This window comes from Homo sapiens, chromosome 4 (genome assembly GCF_000001405.40).
Source record: "Homo sapiens chromosome 4, GRCh38.p14 Primary Assembly".
Classification (NCBI taxonomy): domain Eukaryota; kingdom Metazoa; phylum Chordata; class Mammalia; order Primates; family Hominidae; genus Homo; species Homo sapiens.
This window is the reverse complement of record NC_000004.12, coordinates 44,293,497-44,318,003: the sequence shown is the minus strand read 5'-3', so window position 1 is coordinate 44,318,003 and position 24,507 is coordinate 44,293,497. Positions and strand designations below refer to the sequence as shown.

Sequence of the window (24,507 nt, the reverse complement as noted above, 5' to 3'; positions counted from 1 at the left end):
AACCAGCTAATTTATGAAGTAAATGCCTTTAGAAACATCTGAAAGAGATGCATTCCATTCCTGTTCCATTGTAAACCAAGTATCTAGCAATTGGAGTTTTTGACATCCAGATAAATCCTGAGAATTCTTCCCTAAAACCAGAAAGTAATCTTTGTGGGCACTGCTACTAGTGAGTATTAGAGTGAGAAAGAAGTATCACAGAAGTTAAGGGTAGCTTTCATCAAGAGTTGGCAAACTTTTTAACCCATTTATGCCAGAGATTGCAATTTTTTGAATTTTTCCATGAGTGAAAAATCAGACCTTGGCAATGACCTTGAGCTGTAGGATATAAGTAATTCCCACATGCTTAGCACTCCACTAATGGAACACTAGGCATAAGTGGGTTAAACAGAGGATCGTGTAGTAAGTGTTTAGGCTTTGTAGTTACAACTACTCAACTCTGTCATTACAGCAAGAAAGCACCCGGGCCGGGCGCGGTGGCTCACGCCTGTAATCCCAGCACTTTGGGAGGCCGAGGCGGGTGGATCATGAGGTCAGGAGATCGAGACCATCCTGGCTAACAAGGTGAAACCCCGTCTCTACTAAAAATACAAAAAATTAGCCGGGTGCGGTGGCGGGCGCCTGTAGTCCCAGCTACTCGGGAGGCTGAGGCAGGAGAATGGCGTGAACCCGGGAAGCGGAGCTTGCAGTGAGCCGAGATTGCGCCACTGCAGTCCGCAGTCCGGCCTGGGCGACAGAGCGAGACTCCGTCTCAAAAAAAAAAAAAAAAAAAAAAGAAAGCACCCATAGGCAATACATAAACAAATGTGCATGGTTCTGTTCCATTAAAACTTTGTTAGATATATTAACTCCTGCTGGAGACTCATAAAACAACAAAAAAACAAAATGAAAGGAAACATAGCTTCATACAGCAGTAAAATGATTCCTTCTGTGCCCAATTACAGCCTCCTTACTCTAACAAGTTTAGGAGTCTGGTTTCCTGTTTGTTTTTTTTTTATTATTATTTTATTTGTTGTTGTTGTTGCTGAGATGGAGTCTCGCTCTGTTGCCCAGGCTGGAGTGCAGTGGCACTATCTCGGCTCACTGCAATCCCTGCCTCCTGAGTTCATGTCATTCTTCTGCCTCAGCCTCCCAAGTATCTGGGACTACAGGCGCCGGCCACCAAGCTCGGCTTATCTTCTTTTTTTTTTTTTTTTTTTTTTTTTTTTCGTATTTTTAGTAGAGATGGGGTTTCACTGTGTTAGCCAGGATGGTCTCGATCTCCTGACCTTGTGATTGGCCCGCCTCGGCCTCCCAAAGTGCTGGGATTACAGGCATGAGCCACCACGCCCGGCCTGATTTCCTGTTTTTTATCTATTCAAACTATAAGAAGATTACCTGCTGACATACCTCAATATTTCTATAGAAATTGCGATTGATATTCCAATTTAAGGGAGTAATCATCTAGAAGAGACATATACAACTGGTGAGAAAACACATTTGGCTCGGCACACTTGTTAACATAGTACGTTTATATTTATGAATGACGAACAGCATGACATCTGAAGACAACATCATCAAGAGAAAGATCCAGGATGAACTAAAAACAAACCAAAACAAATCAACCCTGGAGGAAATAGAGATAATGCAGAGAACAAAAAAAACAAAACAAAAGAAACCTTAACAATAATTCTTATTGCCCTTATAAATATTTAGGTGTAAATTGAATCTATTGGAAAAAATGTTTATAAATTTAATAAATGAGTGTGGAAATAAAAAAGATAGCCAAAGTCCAAAAGGTAAAAATCAACATAGTTAAGATATATAGCAGAACAAATTATCTCAAAAAATAGCAATAAGTAATCTGAAAGAAAAAAATCAAGGAAATTTGACAGAATTTGGACAGAAAAGAAACAGAAGAAAATGATTATGAGGAAAGTTAAGTAATAAAAAAATGGGAAAAAGAGCCCGCAAAAGGAGTGCTAGATGGAGAGTAGAGAAACACTAGTTTGTCTTATCTGATGTACTGTATACATGGGTAGAAAACCTAAGTCTTCAGTTGCTGAACAACATCAGGCAAAATGACTCAAACAGTAAAAATTTCATAATATCAAGATTAAAGAGAAAAACCTTAAAACTATTTAGAAAGAAATAAAACAAAGTATATTGCATTATGTTGATTTCAAAGGATTGGCACTCAGAAAGACATCAGACTTCTCGTCAGCAACATGGAACCTGAGAACAATGACTTCCTAAGTCTGAGAGGAAAAAAAATGTTTTAAACCTAGAGTTCTACAACTGGATGTGTTATCAATCAAATGTGAGGGTAAATTATACACTTTTTCAGGCATAGAATAACTAAGAAATATCATTATGTATATTTACTCTGTGAAAACAATCATTTTAGGGAGTTTTCCAGAAAATAAAAAGATACTACCCTACTCCAAAATATGAGACAATATAGAATACAAAAATAGAGTAACTAGTGAATCTTATCCAGAAGATGGGAAGGAAGTTAGAAACAAGTTTTCAATGGCTTGTTCTTACATCTGTATGGGTTCAATCTAACTTTTTAATTCTGTGGTACATAATGTTTTCATAATCACATGTTAAATTATGCACTGTGGTTTAACCTTTTTGTATTAAGCTATAGAAACAGAAAATTCTCTTTAGGATGCGTATTTACAGAAGAGAATGTAAAAGTTATAAGCCCTTAATAATTTTTCTTAAAATTTTTTAAGAAATGGAAGAAAAGATAGAGCTTAAGGAGCTAATTTTCTTTCTTTTAATCCAGGGTAAAATAGATAATATTAAGTGCTAGCTTTAAAAAAAGAAATTACAATTTGTCATGTAAAGAAAGAAAGTTTTAAAAAGTGAAAACCCAAGAAGAAATTAAAATGATTAACTCACAAACATTTGGATGTGGAGGGAAAGGGAGATGAGGGATTGCATAAAATCCCTAAATTTTTCATCTTTAAAGGTGGCAAATAATGGAGATCTAAAGCTGATAATGATATAATAAAATTTTAAGTGTCATATTTGAAAACTTAACCTCCAGATGTCCTAAAGAGTAAAAGATTAACACTGGTTGACTCTGAGGTAGAGGAGGAGGAGTATAAGTTTTTTTTTTTTCCTGTTTTTTTTTTCACAATGTCTTTGAATTATTTCTATAATAAACATTTAAATATAAATTTAAAATATTAACTATGCTATATTCATACAATGGAATATCATCCAACCATTAAAAATAATATTATAAATCTCTATGTACTGATAGTGAAATATATCCACAATCTTTTAAATAAAACAAGTAAGTTGCAGAATATATGATATGATCCCTGCTGTGTAAATGTGCATGTTTATGCATATAGATGTGTATATTTATATATGCATAGAAAATGTCCAGTGAGATATCCATAAAAATGTTACTAATGTCTTTTTGTGATTTAGATTGTGTCAGGCAGAGGAAACATTATTCATTCTTAATGCACATTTTATTGCTTGGATCATAGTATAAGGAGCATATATAACTTGTGTAATTAGGGAAATAAAATATCTTATTAATTGGCTTCTATGATACTGCGTTTCCCCTCCTACTTTCCTGTCCATGCTTTCTCATTTGTCTTTATTTTTCAGCTACAAATCTAAATCATCAACACAAATATCTTCTGTAACTTCAGCCTAATATATCTAACTACCACCAGCTGCATCTACTTTTATGTCCCACAGTATTTCAAACTCACTTTTCCAAAACAGAATCCTCTATCTCTCTGTTTTTTCTCACCAATAAAAGCAACCTGTACCATTGTTTAGCTTTCCCTTCTTTTCCTTATGAATGAAGTCTCCATCCCACCAGTTACCAAACTTAGACCTTGGGGTAATATCATTAACCCTCCATCTTCATGACTGAGAATATCCAATCACTAAATCCTTTCTATTTGACCTTCTGTATCTTTTAACTTCATTAATTTTACTTTCTTGTACAGCTCCCCTTATCAAAAATGTTTAGCATATTTTACATGACCATTCATTGTCTGGCCACTGATTTACCTCTTGAGCCTTATCTCTCATGACTCTGTTCTTTGCACAGCCTGTTCCATTTCCGTAAGTTTGGCAGATATGCCTTACAGGCTTCTGCAAATGTTGTTTTCTGTTGGAATGTCTTTCCTCACATCCCTGCTTGGCCAACTCTTGCCTTACTCTTTTAGTTAACAATTAAGACATTCTTCCTGAATCATCCTGTGCCTATTCTGTCTCTCTGTCTTATAAGCATTTATTTATTAAACTAGGTTTCTTATTAGGATATCATATCTCCATTGCCTAAGCTAGTGCCTGGTAAACTGTAGATACTCAATAGTTTTGTATTAAGTGATTAGTGAATGATATATGTCATTTTCCTAAACAGGACCTGGCTTATTAGATGGGTTAAATGAACGGCAATTACTAATTTTTGAAGCACTTAACAAATCTACTCATTGCTAATCATTAACAGGTAGGAGAAAACTTATTTTCATTGAGGAGTTTATTGTGATCCAGAAGCTCTTGTTGCCTCAAAATAAATAAAATAGAAAATTCAAGAGCAGTTTTATTAAAGAGTATAGGTACTCTACCACGGCCAAGTGATTCACCTACTTTAGGGCATCACTGCCTGACAGACCACAAGACCATATGGCTATTATCTTCACTACGACCTGCTGTAACCCCAGAGAAATATCTCCCTTTGTTAATGTGTTCAGTTAAATGCTTTAAGTAGGTAGTGGCGCTCACCCTGCATTTGATGCCACTGATGAGCAGAAGTTTTGGGCAAAACACTAGAAGTGTCACCTTGCTCTGATAGGAGCTAATGGGCAGATCGCAGATACAGACAAGTCCCCAGTTTTCATGGAGTTCTTCAGAATACATGCTTCCTTCTCTGGGCACAGCAGGGCACACCAAGGAAATTTGTTCCAGGAAAGTTACCTACTGCTTTGGTGTTCTTATTTTATGAGAGATGATTATGAAAGTGACCTCAAAAATGGGGGGAAACAGTATGAGTTTGGAAAGATAGTCTGAATCAGGATATCAGCTAGTAAGGGAGTAATGAGAATGCCAATTGCCTCCTCCCAACTGGACACATTGAAAGAAGTTGAGATCCTTCAAAGCTGGAAGGACCCTTTGCTGGAAGAGGAGGAAAATCCTGGCCCCAGCTAGTTCATTGCCGGGCTGTTTCAGGAGACTACCTGGATCAATCATCAAACAAACTTGTTTTCCCATGAAGATTAAAGCCTGTATAAAATATCAACAAACAAAAGACAAATAATCTATGGATATGTGTGTATAAAAACATAATATTTATGCATAAAGAAGTTATGGAGGGATGCATATCAAACTTTGGTATTAAAAGTGGCAGAGATGGGGGATATGTAATGCTTTTTTCATATATCTATGTAAATTTGCTTTCCAGGTGCATCAGTGTGTATACAGAAGTTAGTTCTGTATTCATACGGTAGCTATTCTTTCTCTATTGCTTTTTTTCAGATTTTAGTGCTTGAATAATTTTATTTACTCTTGCATTAGAAAACAAAGTAAATGATGGAAAGGAAAAACAAAAGACCAACATCAGTATTAATCGTGTCTTCATTTTACCCTGAAAAGATAACAGATTATTGATCCCCAGAGATTCAAGTCCTGGCTTGAATGCCCTTTCTATTGCAGATGCAATTAGGAAGTCTATTCAGTTCAATTTAATAGTCCTTTCAAGTAAGTTACCTGACTTAAAACACCCAACATTTGGTGAGCACCTAAATGTGCTTTGAGAAATAAAGAGAAAGAAAACACTCCCGCCACTCTCAAGGAGCTCCCAAAGAGCTCTATATATCATCTGAAAAACCTTTGAGGAACATTTTCCAATATTTTTTACTTAGAAATCTAAAGACATATACCTTTCCCCATACATGTGAATTATCCAACTTTTTAAAAAATCATGAATAGATACACCCCAAACTCAAAGAAGAATGTGAGACTTGTAACTGAAAGTGGAAAGTGGCACTATAAAATAATTATGATTCTTTATTTCTGATGGGTGTCTACAAAAGTGTGGGCAGTCTAGTTATGACCACAGGTCTTCATTAGTTTCAGTTATTTAAGCTCTGTACTAGTTCAGTCCATTTAAGTGTCATCTAGGATGCTGACACAGAATCAAAATAATGACAATGAAGGAACCAAGAGGAATAAAACGGCAGTAATCTGCTTTTTCGATCCAATCAAGCCACGGAGTTGAGAGTTACAAATAAATTAATTTGGCATTTTCTTTTTCAGAACCTGAATCACTTGCATCTCAGCTCCACACTATAAAGACCATTTGTTATTACTGTGCTTTGGACTTGTTTTATAATTTCACCATCTGTTGAATGTTAAATACTGTATATCTTCACTTGGTTTTCAACATTGTAATGACAGCCTCACTATCTGATTGGCAAGGAGGGTGAGTATTCTTACATTGCAGTAAACATACCATGGCATCTGCTGATGACTTGAATTTTAAAATATAGCTTCCTTAAAAATAAGGTGGACAATATTTTTTACTGTATATACCTATAGTTTGAGGTTGAATGAACAATTTTTTCCTTCCAGCTGATTGATTTGGATGTAATGGGTAAACAGGAAAATTATCTACATTTGTGGTGAAAGAATCTCCTCTTATTATCAGAGAAAATGATTTGGAGAAGGAAGGCAACACCGTGGAAGATAGAAAAATTAAGGTGGGGAGAGAGAGAGAGCACACGTGCTCATTGCAGATATTGTCTATTTTGTCATTTAAATTATGGGTATAAAATATTTTTGAAAATTTTGGAAGAGAAGAATGACAGAAGAAATAAGAGTCTAAAAGCTGTTTGTGTTTTGGATTCTAAGAGATTGGTTGGATTGTTATTTATAGACAAATTTGAAGGCCTAACTCTTTTGAAGAAAGGATCTTAGAAAACTGTTTGCCTTAAGAGGAATCATCAAGATGAAATTCAGAACTAAATGAAAAAAAAATACAAAGAAGAGAGATATAGGGGTTGCAGAAGCATGGAACAATTCTGCTTTGTTCTGGTCTTGTGATCTATATACTTGACATTCCAGCTAGTGTGAAATAAATGGATTTATAAGGGTTAATGTATTTTACTGAATCCAGAAAATAATTAATTTATATGTAGTGTCTGCACACCCACTCACACAAATAAAAACAGATTTCTTATACCATAGACTAATGAAGTTGAAAGATTCTCAGACACTGAAATAGGTTAATAGGATTTATAATTAAAACACAAACTTTTAATCACATTTACAATTTCTCTGCACATTGGTGGTAACTAATTATGTTTTATTCCTCTGGTTTACTCACGAATCTGATCATTGGTTCTTGTAGTGAATTAATGTTACCAAGACTGCTAACTTTGAAACATTTCAGAGCATAAACTTTTATAGTAAAATAGAAAGCCTATGATCTTGAAGTAGTTTCTTTTTGTTTTCCCCCTGAAAGTGATTAACCAGCAATGCCAGTGGTTTAGGCCATATCAGGAGACAAGCTTAGAAGAAATTAGTTTGCTGAAAATGTGTTAAAAATCTGTATTTTTATTTTCATTTTTAATATGTTGATTGTTTCATAAATCTCTCTGCTCCCATTTTTATTGCAGCACTAAAATCACTGAATTCAACACTTAATTATACTTAGTGTTTCTTGGCCTAGAAATTATGTATTAAAGCTGTTTCTATGTTCAAAATTAGATTATGCGTGAAGTCCCCATTGTACAAGCAGCATTTATGCTATCAATTGGTTTCACTGGATTACATATATCACTGGAATACATATCAATCTATTTATTTCACTGGACTACATAAGTTTTAAGTGTATCTCTAAAATGTCACATATTTCAGAGTTTTACATATAAACCAAAAAGGTTATATTTCTTCTCAATTGAATCTAATTTAATAATACCAGGTCCCATGTTTTAAAACAATATACATTTCTTTCTTTTTTCAGTTTTTCTCTTTTAAGGATCTCTCCAAGGACTTAGGTATTTGAAAATGATATAGATCCTATGACGACATTACCTTCAAAAATTTGATACTGCGTAAGGCAACTGTGAGCATAAATAATTTTAGTATTTTACAACTAAAATTTAGTATTTTAGTTCGAAAATACTAGAATAGAATCTTATTTATGGAATTTAATGGATTCTCTTAGAATCAAAAACACAAAAAGCTTTTAGACTCATTATCCTTTTGTCATTTTCCTCTTCCAAAATTCTCAAAAATATTTTATACCCATAATTTAAATGGCAAGTCAATATCTGCAATGAGTGCTCTCTCTCTAATGTATTCTAAATTTTAGTATTTAGGACTAAAATTTAGTATTTTATGTTCATACACCTTTTTGAAATTTATAATTAGCTTCATTTTGTGACAGTTATAAAATTCAACAGTACAAGTTGTTGAATATGTTGTGAGTAAAAGAGAATTAAGCATAGCTGAAAGGCTACTGGATTTTCAGAATATTGTTGATCCTCAGAATAATATAATTTGTAAAAGATATATCTTCCAAAGAGTCTTCAAATTCTGTAAAATATTACTTTTATTGAATCTAAGACAGTTTTAAATTGGAAATTAATTTAGGAGTACAAACACCTGCTTTTAATTATTAGATTTAAAATTCATCAGTTTAGGCAGAGCACAGTGGCTCATGTCTGTAATCCTAGCACTTTGAGAGGCCGAGGTGGGCAGATGGCTTGAGCTCAGGAGTTCGAGACTGCCTGGGCAACATGGCAAAAACCCCATCTCTAAAAAAAAAAATACAAAAATTAGCCAGACATAGTGGTGTATGTCTGTAATTCCCCCTATTTGGAGGACTGAGGCATGAGAACTGCTTGAACCCCAGAGGTTGAGGCTGTAGTGAGCCAAGAGCATGCCATTGCATTCAAGCCTGGGTGACAAAGTGAGACTCTGTTTTAAATAAATAAATAAACGTCAGTTTGATTTGTCAAAGACCAGTCAAGTAAATAAATGTTATTTGTCTAATCTATATTCTATTATTATAATTACTATTCAATACACTATGTTCTCTAGATGCTGTGTATCAATATCATCATTCCTGCTCAAATTCAAATTAATATGCTTTTCTGGGGCAAACTCCTGGAGTTTATAATTTATAACTATACTGTAAAAGATATATGGCAGTGATTCAATATGTGTTTTTTCATATTCATCTTTGTAAATATTTTTGTTAGTCTGAATTTTTGTTATTGATTAGTATATTACTTTATTTTAAAATTTCAATCTAAGTTTTCTTGTTTTTATCTTTAACAATGCTTTGTTAAGAGAGAAGCCATAAACCTTAAATAAGATGTGAGCATAGATTACACCTAGTCACTCTCATTTAATAGTACATCTGTTCTTGTAAATTTTACAACATATCAAAAAAGGTATATCTATAACAAACAAATACAGACAATAAAATATTGAAATACAAAATCATATAGATCTTCAAATAGAATGGGTTAAATTATGCATAGTTTTTTCTTACTTGCTGCTTTCCTATTTACATGTGACTGTTTCTGATAGTTTATTATTAGTCCACAATCCATTATACCTGGAAATTGAGATTTAGATAATTTCCTTAATATCCAAATATGGAACAGGTTCTACTTTTTTAAAGGGAAAAAAAAAGAGTTCATTGTAATTTAATCTTTACTATAGACATAGATTCGAAGCTTAGTGAGCACTTATTGATTGATTGAATGATTGATTATACTATATCGATATACCAGTTTGAAAGTTCTGCTTTCATATGTAGCTATGAGACATCACATACATCTAAATGTTTTCGTTTCTCATCTTGAGCTATGAAAGGTTTTTCTTAATTTATAAACAAAAATCACTGGATTCTATATAAAGGAATAACTGTATATTAAGGGATAATATTGTACCTATATAGTAGTAACATAGTTATGAAAAATAGATAAGGGATATGCTTTAGTATATGGAAATAAGTAATAGTGACTGTAATATGGGTCGTATTCCCATGTTTATAAGCAACTTCCAGAGGTGATATCAGTCTTTTTGTAATTCATCTGTCTTGTATCTAGGTCTCTTTAAAATGTTATACATTGAATATGTACACTATATTTGTTTTATGAATTTTTGACCAGAGATTTTATTTAGGTACTTAGTCATGTTAGCTATTCATGCATTTTGCGGAAAAAGAGTTATGTGTACAGCACTGGCCTATTTCATGATAATTACTACTTTGCTCATTATGTCAGTTGATATAATGAAAACCATAGGCTAATATGCAGCTTGAAACAGAGTATTTTCTCTTGTGGTTTGAGATTTAATTATGCAATTAATTGGAAAATAAATTACAGTGGAAGCAATCGTGTTTTATGACCAAATCTACTTAAAAAAGAAATAAAAGCTCACATTTTATTTTTAATCTGACATCATAATGACAACATATTGAACTTCAGTAAATATATTTATAATTTGATAAAAGTTACTGAAAACATGTGGATCTAGTGCTGGACTATTTTCTAGAAATGACATTCCTCTTGAAAATGATCACGCATGAGCAAGTGTACGATGATTTCACAATATGAGAATGTTTAAGCATTTTCCATTACAGACCAGTTTTAGGCAACAGATATAGATGAACTAGCTAAATTTTAACTATGTAAATTTGATTAATTATGGGCATGATAAGTAAAGAAATTATGTGATTATTATTACTACAACTTGAACATAGACTTGGAAGGCCTCTTCAGTTTTTCTGAAAATAGCCCTTCTGCAATATCCCTAGCAAACATTCACTCAGTTTGTTGTGACATTCTTTAGGATATGGTGCATTTTGACTAGCTTTACTAGTTTTGTGACTGGATACCTCCTAATAAAATATCTTTATTTGTATTGAGCTTAATTCTGCTCCTTTATTACTCTTAATTACTGATTTTGTTTATGGCCGCTTTAGTTAAGCAATTAATTACATATTGGATGGCGAGTGTCAGGTCACTTTCTCAGGTCAAAATGTCCCTGGTACCTTTAGCCACTCTTTATATCTTTTGATTTTTCAGACTCCCTGTCATTCTGATGCTTGACTTCAACTGAACATAGTCTAATTTGTTAAACTTAGGTTTCTTCTTTTTCTCCTTTTTAAATAGTCAGTGGCAAAGGGAACTAGTTGCCTATTAAAATCTGTGTTCTTTACTAATAGAAGGCCAATTTTATTGCTTACAAATTTAATAAAATTTTACCTTCCTTAGTTCTGTCAGATGGCAGTTGGCTAAGCTCTGGTCCATCACATTAGACAGAACATGTTCAGGACTGAGATCATGCATTTTTAACAATCTTCCAGGTTATACCAGTCCATTAATTACACTATGAGTAATAGGGTTATGGATAGCTTTATGATTTGGTCCTCCAAATTTCAATTTGTGAAAATTGTATGTTTGCTTTTTAATTTATTTTGACTTCTTTTATCAGTGCAGTTGGTAATGCATGAACTAAGGAGACTAGAATTCAAGCAATACCTTTTTTGATAAAGAAATGTGAAGATGTTTAAATTATATTAGAAAAAGCCCCACAGGCTTTGGATCTGAGAGACATATATTTTAATATCCACCTTACTAACCATGTGAACTTTGTTAAGTCATTTAACATGAAGTGAGGATATAATTATACTTGACCAATCTAGAAATATAATGATAGTATCATACTAAGAAGACAGCACAGTGCCTGTTGCATATTAGAGATATAGCAATCATCAATTTATTTATCTCTTTTTAACTGACGAATTATATTTGTTTTTGTCTTCATTTTCTATTTATAATCTTCTGTTTTTACATTTATTATTTCATTTCTTCCACTTCCTTTGATTTTGTTCTTGTGTCATTGTCTACCTAAGTTGAATACTTAGCGGATTAATTTTTAGTCTTTCTAATACAAACATTTTGGAGGACAAAATTCCATCTAAGTGCTTTTTTATATGCAATATTATTATTGAACTTTAAGTATTTTCTAATTTTCATTAATTCTATCTAGTAAATGACTTATTTGGAAATGCTTTTAGTTTTTAAATATTGATAAATATTTATAAAATTGTTATTAATTACCAATATGAATCCTCCATGTACAGAAAATGTGATAGGATTATTATGATAGCAAATCTTTGAACTACTTTGAAACTTGATTTATGATCCAGTAAATGGTTGGATTTTATAAATGTCTAATTTATACTTACAAATACTCATATTTTTCATTTTGGGGTAAAAAATTGTAAACATACACACATATACTATATCAATCATGTTAGTGGTGTTCCTCAAGTTTTCTGTAAGCTTACTGACTCATTGAATTGTTTTTGTCTGCTTAATCTGTTATTAACTTAGGGAAATATAAAATCACTTAGTATAACAATAGGTCTACTTTTTCTCAGAGCTTTCTCAATTTTTTATGTATTTTCATACTATATATTAGATATATATGAGTTTATAAGTTTTATATCATCCTGGTGAGTTTGTTTAATAAAGAGAAGTGATTCTCTTTATCTTTGCTTTTAAAATTTGATATAAATATAGCTGCATCTTCTTGGTAATTTCGTGTCTAGTAAACTTTTAAAATATCCTTTTATTTTCAATATTTCTGTCCTGTTAACTTGTAAAATTTTTTTGTAATCAGGAAGCAACCCAACTTTAATATTCAAAATTATAATATTCATCTTTTAGGGGGAGAGATTATTTATAATTACTTTTATATTTTATATACTTATATCTATCACGTATTTTAATGTATATTTACTTTTAATTATCTAAACTTTGATTTTTTAATTCTTTTTTCCTAGATTTTAATATGCATACTGAATTCTGTTCTTTTATTTTTCATTCTAGTTATTTTAACATGAATATTTACTTGAATAAAGCATGTGATTAATCAAATCCTTTATTCTACTCTGAAACCATAAAATATTCTTATACTATTTTAATGTAAAACCTTCTCCCACCAGGTTTATTTGCTGTTGATTCCAGGATTTTGGTTCTGGACTTTTTTTTTTTCTAGACAGGATCTAGTTCTGTCACCTAGGCTGGAGTTCAACTCCTGGGCTCAAGTGATCCTCCCACCTCAGCCTTCTAGGTGCCTGCTAGGACTGCAGGCAGGCACCACCATGCCCTGCCAACAAATGCATATATTTTTGTGGCCACCATCATAATCAAGATATAGAACAGTTCCATCTAACCCCCCTGAATTATCTGTCACCTTGGGCTTTGTAAAAACAAAGAGTGTTTGCTAACTGTTCTTAAATATAGAGATCCATTTCTTGTTTCATCTTTCCTAACCATGATTTATTATATCCTATAATTTAATTACTTCAGCCATCAACATAATAGTGGGAAGGTATAAGAGTTTAATCTACAATTACTTAATACAGTACAACAAAAACGTATCAATGGCATTATATTACTTTTAATCACAGCTTATTATTCCCTTTATGTTGACTAGATGTTATGTGAAACTACTGAATAAGAGGCTGAAGACATTCAGGGGCGTAGTAAGTGTGGAAATTGTTAACCAACAAAAAAATGTTTTGATCCAAGTGATGCTTGAAGTGGTAGAAAGATTAGGAAAACTATTTTTTAAATGCAGGCCATCTACTTTACCTCAATTCTGACTATTCTCCTTATTGCATTTTTTTCATTTAATAAACAGTTATTTATTGAATATGTTCTCTGAGTCAGACATGTCAATTCTTCTGTCACCTAGAGGGATTCGTGTACCACATACCTATTTTTCTTCATTTTGTCTTATTCTTCTTGGGCTTAATAAAAACAAAAGCTTTGATGGGGAAAATGGAGTATGATAAAACTGGAAATGTAGATGGTCACTCAGAGATATTTATAGAATCAAAATTCTGGTGTCTCAAGTTGGATAATGACTCCTTAGTACATAAGGTGATGTTAGAGTCTGGATGACTGCATGAGCCTTTCTGCCATTTAGTGTTATGTGAAATTTTCATCAGTGTAACTTCATACATATTGAGACATTATTGATTTGTAACCTGAGTTTGTATTTATCTTGCAGCTGAGATTTTGGAGGGCAATACCTTTTCTGCTAATGATCTGCTAATTTAAAGAATGCTTGCTTTCTTTTAGCCAATTTTAGAAAATGTTAAAAACGATTAGGAGTTTTTTCATTTTTTTTTTCTCAGACAGGGTCTCACTCTGTCCCCCAGGCTGGAGTGCAATGGTGCAATTTCAGTTCACTGCAACCTCTGCCTCCTGGGCTCAAGCAATTCTGCCTTAGCCTCCTAAGTAACTGGGACTACAGGAGCACAGCACCACACCCAGCTAATTTTTGTATTTTTTGTAGAGATGGGATTTTGCTATGTTGCCCAGGCTGGTCTTGAACTCCTGAGCTCAAGCAATCCACCTGCCTCAGCCTCCCAAAGTACTGGGATTACAGGAATGAGCCACCATGCCTGGCCTTATTTAAGAGTTCTTATTACACCTCTAAGCAAATAAACTAGAAAATCTAGAAGAAATGGATAAATTCCTCGACACATACACTTTCCCAAGACTAAACCAGGAAGAAGTTGAATCTCTGAATAGACCAATAACAGGATCTGAAATTGTGGCAATAATCAATAGCTTACCAACCAAAAAGAGTCCAGGACCAGATGGATTCACAGCCGAATTCTACCAGAGGTACAAGGAGGAACTGGTACCATTCCTTCTGAAACTATTCCAATCAATAGAAAAAGAGGGAATCCTCCCTAACTCATTTTATGAGGCCAGCATCATCTTGATTCCAAAGCTGGGCAGAGACACAATCAAAAAAGAGAATTTTAGACCAATATCCTTGATGAACATCGATGCAAAAATCCTCAATAAAATACTGGCAAACGGAATCCAGCAGCACATCAAAAAGCTTATCCACCCTGATCAAGTGGGCTTCATCCCTGGGATGCAAGGCTGGTTCAATATGCACAAATAAATAAATGTAATCCAGCATATAAACAGAACCAAAGACAAAAACCACATGATTATCTCAATAGATGCAGAAAAGGCCTTTGACAAAATTCAACAACCCTTCATGCTAAAAACTCTCAAGAAATTAGGTATTGATGGGACGTATCTCAAAATAATAAGAGCTATCTAGGACAAACCCACAGCCAATATCATACTGAATGGGCAAAAACTGGAAGCATTCCCTTTGAAAACTGGCACAAGACAGGGATGCCCTCTCTCACCACTCCTATTCAACATAGTGTTGGAAGTTCTGGCCAGGGCAATTAGGCAGAAGAAGGAAATAAAGGGTATTCAATTAGGAAAAGAGGAAGTCAAATTGTCCCTGTTTGCAGACGACATGATTGTATATCTAGAAAACCCCATTGTCTCAGCCCAAAATCTCCTTAAGCTGATAAGTAACTTCAGCAAAGTCTCAGGATACAAAATCAATGTACAAAAATCACAAGCATTCTTATACACCAATAACAGACAAACAGAGAGCCAAATCATGAGTGAACTCCCATTCACAATGGCTTCAAAGAGAATAAAATACTTAGGAATCCAACTTAAAAGGGACGTGAAGGACCTCTTCAAGGAGAACTACAAACCACTGCTCAATGAAATAAAAGAGGTTACAAAGAAGTGGAAGAACATTCCATGCTCATGGGTAGGAAGAATCAATATTGTGAAAATGGCCATCCTGCCCAAGGTAATTTATAGATTCAATGCCATCCGCATCAAGCTACCAATGACTTTCTTCACAGAATTGGAAAAAACTACTTTAAAGTTCATATGGAATCAAAAAAGAGCCCGCAATCCCAAGTCAATCCTAAGCCAAAAGAACAAAGCTGGAGGCATCACGCTACCTGACTTCAAACTATACTACAAGGCTACAGTAACAAAAACAGCATGGTACTGGTACCAAAACAGAGATATAGATCAATGGAACAAAACAGAGCCCTCAGAAATAACGCCACATATCTACAACTATCTGATCTTTGGCAAAGCTGAGCAAAACAAGCAATGGGGAAAGGATTCCCTATTTAATAAATGGTGCTGGGAAAACTGGCTAGCCATATGTAGAAAGCTGAAACTGGATCCCTTCCTTACACCTTATACAAAAATTAATTCAAGATGGATTAAAGACTTAAATGTTAGAACTAAAACCATAGAAACCCTAGAAGAAAACCCAGGCATTACCATTCAGGACATAGGCATGGGCAAGGACTTCATGTCTAAAACACCAAAAGCAATGGCAACAAAAGCCAAAATTGACAAATGGGATCTAATTAAACTAAAGAGCTTCTGCACAGCAAAAGAAACTACCATTAGAGTGAACAGGCAACCTATGAAATGGGAGAAAATTTTCACAACCTACTCATCTGACAAAGGGCTAATATCCAGAATCTACAATGAACTCAAACAAATTTACAAGAAAAAAAGAAACAACCCCATCAAAAAGTGGGCAAAGGATATGAACAGACACTTCTCAAAAGAAGACATTTATGCAGCCAAAAGACATATGAAAAAATGCTCATCATCACTGGCCATCAGAGAAATGCAAATCAAAACCACAATGAGATAACATCTCACGCCAGTTAGAATGGCAATCATTAAAAAGTCAGGAAACAACAGGTGCTGGAGAGGATGTGGAGAACTAGGAACACTTTTACACTGTTGGTGGGACTGTAAACTAGTTCAACCATTGTGGAAGTCAGTGTGGCGATTCCTCAGGGATCTAAAACTAGAAATACCATTTGACCCAGCCATCCCATTACTGGGTATATACCCAAAGGACTATAACTTATGCTGCTATAAAGACACATGCACACATATGTTTATTGCGGCATTATTCACAATAGCAAAGACTTGGAACCAACCCAAATGTCCAACAACGATAGACTGGATTAAGAAAATGTGGCACATATACACCATGGAATACTATGCAGCCATAAAAAATGATGAGTTCATGTCCTTTGTAGGGACATGGATGAAATTGGAAATCATCATTCTCAGTAAACTATCGCAAGGACAAAAAACCAAACACCGCATGTTCTCACTCATAGATGGGAATTGAACAATGAGAACATATGGACACAGGAAGGGGAACATCACACTCTGGGGACTGTTGTGGGGTGGGGGGAGGGGAGAGGGATAGCTTTGGGAGATATACCTAATGCTAAATGACGAGTTAATGGGTGCAGCACACCAGCATGGCACATATATACATATGTAACTAACCTGCACATTGTGCACGTGTACCCTAAAACTTAAAGTATAATAATAAAAAAAAGAGTTCTTATTGATAATCCTACTGGTGTAGGATTAGTTTGAATAAGCATTTAAAAAACATACCATAAGTTTATTTTTCTAGTTATTGCATATAACAGTACATTCTCTTGTTGCAATCAGATTGCAAAGCTGATTATTCTTTTCTGTAACCTTTTAATAGAATATTTCAAACAAGTTTTTATTTAAAAAGAGATGGCAATACAGAAAATGTTTTCTCATGTTATACATGAATATAACCTTTTTTTCTGATCAGATTGCAAAACTGATTATTCTTTTCCGTAACCTTTTAATAGAATATTTCAAACAAGTTTTTATTTGAAAAGAGATGGCAATACAGAAAACGTTTTCTCATGATGTACATGAATATAACCTTTTTTTTCTGATAGCATGATTGTAATTAGATCCATTGTGGACAGTGCTTTACATTTATTATATTATTAGTGATAAAAATCGTGATTGGGAACTGAAATAGAAGCTGTGCCTCTGATAAATATCAGAACTTTGGAGGGCTTTAATCTGTTCTAATTTACTCATAAGTGTGTAGACTTAGTTATAAATCAAAACAGCATGTTATTCTACACCTCTGTAGGTTATTTTGGACAACTCTGAATTTCCATTACATTTGAAAAATAGTCAAGAGTCAGGTTATTTTTAAAAATCACCTAAGGCGGCCGAGTGCGGTGGCTCACAGCTGTAATCCCAGCACTTTGGGAGGCCGAGGCGGGTGGTCACGAGGTCAGGAGATTGAGACCATCCTGGCTAACACAGCGAAACCCCGTCTCTACTAAAAATACAAAAAATTAGCCGGGCGTGGTGGCGGGTGCCTGTAGTCCCAGCTACTCGGAGGCTGAGGCAGGAGAAAGATGTGAACCCAGGAGACGGAGGTTGCAGTGAGCTGAGATGGCCTGGGCGACAGAGTGAGACTCCGTCTCCAAAAAAAAAAAAAGAAAAGGAAAAAAAAAATCACCTAAGGCACCACCTTTTTTTTTTTTGAGACGGAGTCTCACTCTGTTGCCAGGTTGGAGTGCAGTGGCGCGATCTCGGCTCACTGCAATCTCAGACTTTCTGGTTCAAGCAATTCTCCTGCCTCAGCCTCCAGAGTAGCTGAGAATACAGGCACTTGCCACCACGTCCAGCTAATTTTTGTATGTTTAGAAAGATGGAGTTTCACCATGTTGGCCAGGATGTTCTGGATCTCCTGACCTTGTGATCCGCCTGCCTTGGCCTCCCAAAGTGCTGGGATTACAGGCGTGAGCCACCGCGCCCGGCAGGCACCCCATTTTTATGCAAGAAGAAAGAAATACACAACAGTTTCCCATCTCACCTTAAACTTTTGGTAAAAATATCTTGGATTTTCATTATGTTAGAATGTTGCTACATGGAAGAAGGCTTGGTGGGTGGGTAGAAAAATATGATGGCATACCTGCTTTTTAGAAAGAAATGAGGAAGAGTGTTCTTTGAAAAATGAGGCAGAGAGGACCCTTACAAACAAATGAGATTTTACATATGTATTTTAGCAATGCTTACCTTTGGGTGATGGAGTTACCTATGTAATACTATCTTTCTTACTTTTATGTTTCTAATAGATTTCCACAAGCATGTATTCACTTCTATAATTGGGATACATGATACTCAACTAATGTACTTGAAAGTAAGTTTTAGCAATATTTCTAACCTAGCTACATTGTGATTTTTCAAAGAAGCTTGTAATAATAAGTAAATTATTTATATTTTATTGCCATTGAAAACTTGGAACTTTTTTTTACAACTGTATGCATTTTGTCTTACTTTCATCTTTGTAGATTGTCCATTTTTATGTGAATAGCTTTTTTCAAAAGGTCTGTTCATTTGTTACTTTATTTACTATCTTTCAATCAATATTTTATATCTAACTTCTGTGCTATGTTCTGTTCTTTTGGATCCAGTGTGGGTTATTGAGACCAGAAATGTTGTCACCTGTCTTTAAGATGGTAACATTTTGTCACTTTAGTACAGAGCCAGTGGGTGTGAACTCTAAGCTGGTAGCTATTCCCAGTACTTTTTTAAAAAGTTCAATGAGTCAAGGGAGTGTGTTTCATATTGAGACTGTAAGGAAGCAAGTTTTAGGGACCTTCTCCAGGGAGCTATTTCTTATTGTTTCTGGGGAGCTGTCAGCTCTTCCCCTCAGGTGATTTTGAAATACATTTATATATCTTATTGCTGCTACAACTAAAAATGTAGGAAACTGTGGTGGTGATGGTGCTTTCTTCTCCTTTTCCCCCAGTTCATCTTAGTTAATTTTATTATACAGAAAAATAAAGAGGTGGGGGGGGCAGATCATTAGTGTGAAGGAGTTTTGTGAGGAAAAGTCAGAGACTTTGCCACTTCCCTGTAGAAATATCGATCCATTTCAAGTGGTATATGTAACTGAAACATATCATCTCCCAATTCCGAAACAGAAGACTGACAGACTATTTATGGGAAAGGAAGGGGTCTGAGCCTCAGTATGTCTGGGAAGTTTGCTGTAAATCCTTATCTGAGCACAGAGAGAAAAAGATAAACTTTAGTCCTAGTGTCTTTCTGTTATTCTTGCAGCATCTTCTTGTGGTGTATATTTTTCATTACAATTATCATTCTATACACATTTTCTTGAGTACTGACAAACTCTGCATCAGATACTGTGCTTCTTGTGAGCGACAGAGAGATAACTAAGGTAATTCTTGACTCAAATGAGTTCATAGTCTAATGGCAGTCTCAAAAATAGATGCAGCAATTATTACAAGTACAATGAAAAGGATGTTGATCCTATTGTGTGCTTTAAAAGCAAGGACTGGCCGCTAATTACAAGAGGTAAAATATTCCATGGAGAACCATAGATTTTGGCCACATGGAATTACTCAGAAGGTGTTAGAAAGGTATCACACAAGTGCTGTGTTCATGTAAGTTGCAAATTCATTGTGGAGTAGTAGACATTTCTAATGTTTTACATATGTAAGATAAACCTATTCCCTTGGACATAAAGAATCTAAGACCTACCATATCTCTATTTGGGATTTTGAAATGCTTTGCCTTGGGAGAAGCAGACATGGTATTTCATTTATACATTATTAATATTCACAGCCTCTACTCAAGATGCCTCTGTGGTAGCGTAAATAGCAGGGACATTATTTTTCAAAGATGTATTAAAGTGCAAGTTAATGGTAGTGTTTGCCTTAAAAATAGAAAAGATGCACATATACTATATTTCATTGATTGTAAGATGCTATTTTATTAATAGGTTACCAGAGAAAAAAGATCTCATAAGACTATGTTAAATGTAGATATCTATTTATATGTGAAAAAAATATACATCTGAGAAACAGGGGACCATGTTATGTCAAAAAAGTAAGCTTTTTGGATGAAAAACAGTCCAAAATGTGATTTAATTTGCAAAGCAATTACAATTTTAGATGATGTTTTATTTTTACATGTTTGTTGGCAATGCTATTCTAATCTGTTTTGATTTAATTTGTTCCAATTATTGGGCTTACCTATTTATGGAATACTTTTTCCCTATCTTATGTTGAATATATTTTTTTAACTTAGTATTTTGCAGTGGTGGCAGGCTTTATGTGTTGGTGTCTTAATTATTGAAATATTTGGTTTTTTATTGTCAACCCAGTGCTTGGCATATAGATATGTGAAGAACAGATGTGAAAGTACTCTGCTTCTATAGCATTAAATATGCTTTTTAAAATATAGAGTGTTAATATTGGAAATTTATTATAATATATCTTACTGATGTAAAAGAAAATGAAAATGAGCCATTTTTTATTATCTAATGGAGTGTTTCAGATTAGACCTCACGTAACATGGACTCTGTGACCCTGAGGATAGTATAATCTTTGGGGTGTCATTCTTGAGGTTTTTCAGAGGCAGTGTGTATTTTAGATTGTTGCTGTGGGAAATACTCAAAAAAACTTTCAAAAAAAATCACAGAAACTAAAGATTTAAAAATAAAACACATAATTAGATGAATCATTACTAGAATTTAGGGAACAAATATTAGTGAAGCCCACATGATACCATTCATCACTGTGTTAGTAGAGGAATAGAGTAATTTTATGAACTTATTAAAGAGCAGCAAAATAGTCTACTAATTATATTGGTGTTTCAGTGTCTGAGATATCCTTATTTTTTACAAAAATAACAGAACAGATATGTAAATTATAATTTTTCATAAGCCATTAATATATCAATTTAAAACATATTAGAATAACATTATAAATTATTGTTGGATCCCCAATTCTGCTCATAAATGCCTAATTAACACATGTGACACTGTTACGATACCATTTATACCATTGATTGTATGGGAAGGTCATTTCCAAGGCCAATTACAGGTCTTCTCTTAAAGGGATTTAATTTCCATAGCCTCTTCTTATATTGGCTATTTTGGCTAGAAAGGAATTCAGTGTGGTTAGAATGGAAAGAAAGGCAGAGAAATAGGGGTTACTAAGGATCAGAAAAAAAAGGGAGGACTTATCTCTTGCTTGAGGGTGAGGAAACTAAATTATTTCATGCTGTATGTGTCTAGATTTCAAAACAAAATACATTCATGATCTCTGTTTGCACTATGCTGCCATTTCTTAAATAACAAATCTTAGCATTCCTTTTCTGCTGCAAAATTACGTTAAAAACAAATATGATCCTATAAGAATTGGAAATATTTAAACCAAGGGAAACCATTATTAATGGCTAGGCAATTAAGGCCAGTTGGGTAGAGTAGTTTCAAGTATCTTGGGTCTTACAAGTTTTTATCTACCAAATGACCAGGTTAACTATTTTACAAAGAGAAGCTACTGAAAGTGAATTAATATGTAATAAATTACCAATATTAATAATTGCATATTGCTACAGTCAGAATGTGTTCCCTAAAATCCATTTGTTAGAAACTTGATTCCCAGTCCTGCAGTGTTGGGAGATGGAGCCTCTGGGAGGTGTTTTGTTCATGAATGGATTTATGCAACTATAAAAAGATGCTGGCACCTTGATCTTGGACTTCTAAGCCTCTAGAACTATGAGAAACTTCTTTACAAATTAACCAGTCTGTGCTATTCTGTTATAGCAACACAAAATAGCCTGACGCATATCAAAATAAATGACAGGTAATACTTATCAAATTTTAAAGAAATATAAATATACTCAGGTACAAATAAAATGTTTATCTTAAATATTTAAAATTTTTACATTTTTTTCTTTGCTTTCCCTCCCTTTCCCAGAAACTGACAATTAAATAAGGACAAGATAAAAGAGCCTGAAAAAGGGGCTCTCTTGGGTCTTAGATTTAAGAGCTATTAAGCCCAGGAACAAACCAAACATTGCCAGCATTTTAGTTCTAAAAGGCCCCATCAGAGGATGCACTAATAGTCGTCTAGTTTTTCTGTCTTTTTATTTTTATTTTTTGAGACGGGGTTCATTCTGTCACCTGGGCTGGAGTGCAGTGGCACAGTCATAGCTCACTGAGGCCTCTAATTCCTGGACTCAAGCAATCCTCCCACCTCAGACCCCAGAGTAGCTGGAACTACAATCGTGTGCCAGCATGTCTGGCTAATTATTATTTTTTAAAATATGGAGACAGGGTCTCCCCACATTACCCAGCCTGATCTCAAACTCCTGGGCTCAAGGGATCCCCCTGCCTCAGGCTCCCAAAGTGCTGAGATTACAGGCATCAGCCACCCTGCGGGACCTAGTTTCTCTGTTTTTGACAGCCTTTTATCTCCTTTTGCCTTAGAACATTTTGTTACCTTCTTCTAGTTCATTGGTGTTTTAACTGAATTCACCTTGTCCTTAAAATTCAATAGATATGCCTCAGGATTTTACTAGATAAAAGTGGGACCTTAAACATGAAGGGTGCTCATCTCTCACTCTGCTTTTAGCAAATCAACTCTACCTTAATCTGTTCTGTATACTGGGCTCTGCATAATATTCACTTAAGAAAGCAAGTCCAACAGTTGAAAATGTGACTTTGAAAACCTGTCCACAAAATGGATATATAGGATGCTATAGAGAGTTAACATTCTTCTGTTCTATTGATGATAATGGTCTTTGGTGAGAATCCAAGTGAAGCCTTAGGGGACAAGCTATCATGAAAATCAGGTTTCATAAGGAAATTTTTTTCAGTTTTCATGAATAGACACTCTATTTCAAAGTGAGCCAATGCTTTTGTAAGTCAAACCAGATAATCTTACTGGTTGCAATGGTGCTGGACGGTAATGAGGAAATGGTTTTGAACTTGATGGCATGAGAAATGCATAGATATTCTTTTAAACATATGTTTTTCCATTACAATGAGAAAATCTGGTTTCAATTTATGAAATCTTTGGGCAGAATGTGTTTTTATGTACCTATCTTAAGAGTGCTTTGGTGGCTCATAGGCACCAGCGGGCAAAGGAGTCTTAACAAAATCTTTTACGTTTCTAAGTGTCAGACTGGCTTCCATTTTTCTGCGTTACCACAGGACAACAGGGACCAGATAGTACTAAGAGGAAGGATGTATTTACAGTAGTAATGTGATTGTTTATCTTCCCCTTTGTATATTTATAGAGAACGTGCATGTGTCAAATCATTTCTATGATTTAGATTCATCATAATAAATTATCACTTATACTTTTGTTATTGTCAATTTCGTTAAACCTTTGGCAAAATGAACATTATCCTTTTCCTATCCTTTGTAAATTTTTAAGCAAAATGGCATGCATTGCATTAATTTACATTTTTATTATTAGTGATGTTAAATCTTTGTGATATAAAATAAAATGCTCAAGAAAATTGTTAAACAAATGATAAATGGAATTATCTCATTCTCTATGCAATAATTCTATTTATATTTCTGATAAATCATCCTTTTTTTGATTGGCTTTCCACAGGTTCTCTGACGATGTCTTTGTGCTCAATCTTACGTAAGTTCAAAATGCTAAAATAATTTTCAAGTGGCTATGTTTCAATATTTTCAACAACTTTTTCCATTTTTTGGCCAGTGTTTACAAGGTTCTTGGGTTTTAAAAAATTTCCCTCATGTCATCATACAATTGATTAAAATACTAACCAACCTAACTCACCAGATTCCTAGAAAAAAAAAATTAAAGACTAGAAATCTAGCATCTAAAATAATAAATATAATTTGCTTTTCCCTGACCTTTTCTTATATAAATTCAATTTCTTTGTGTCCTCTGTGTGCTGCTTCTACCAATTACACCTTTGC

General features: G+C 34.2%; 1 protein-coding gene and 1 long non-coding RNA gene across 3 annotated transcripts in view; both read left to right on the top strand.

Annotated features, from left to right (window-relative positions):
• The window catches only part of KCTD8 (potassium channel tetramerization domain containing 8), a 274,907-nt gene that overhangs the window by 130,806 nt on the left and 119,594 nt on the right, over positions 1-24,507 (top strand). The gene's annotated exons all lie outside the window — the stretch shown is intronic.
• LOC107986275 (uncharacterized) lies at positions 1,312-24,507 on the top strand. Its single transcript, XR_001741677.3, has 3 exons — positions 1,312-6,442; positions 18,872-18,936; positions 24,173-24,507. It is a non-coding gene; the product is annotated as an uncharacterized LOC107986275 (long non-coding RNA).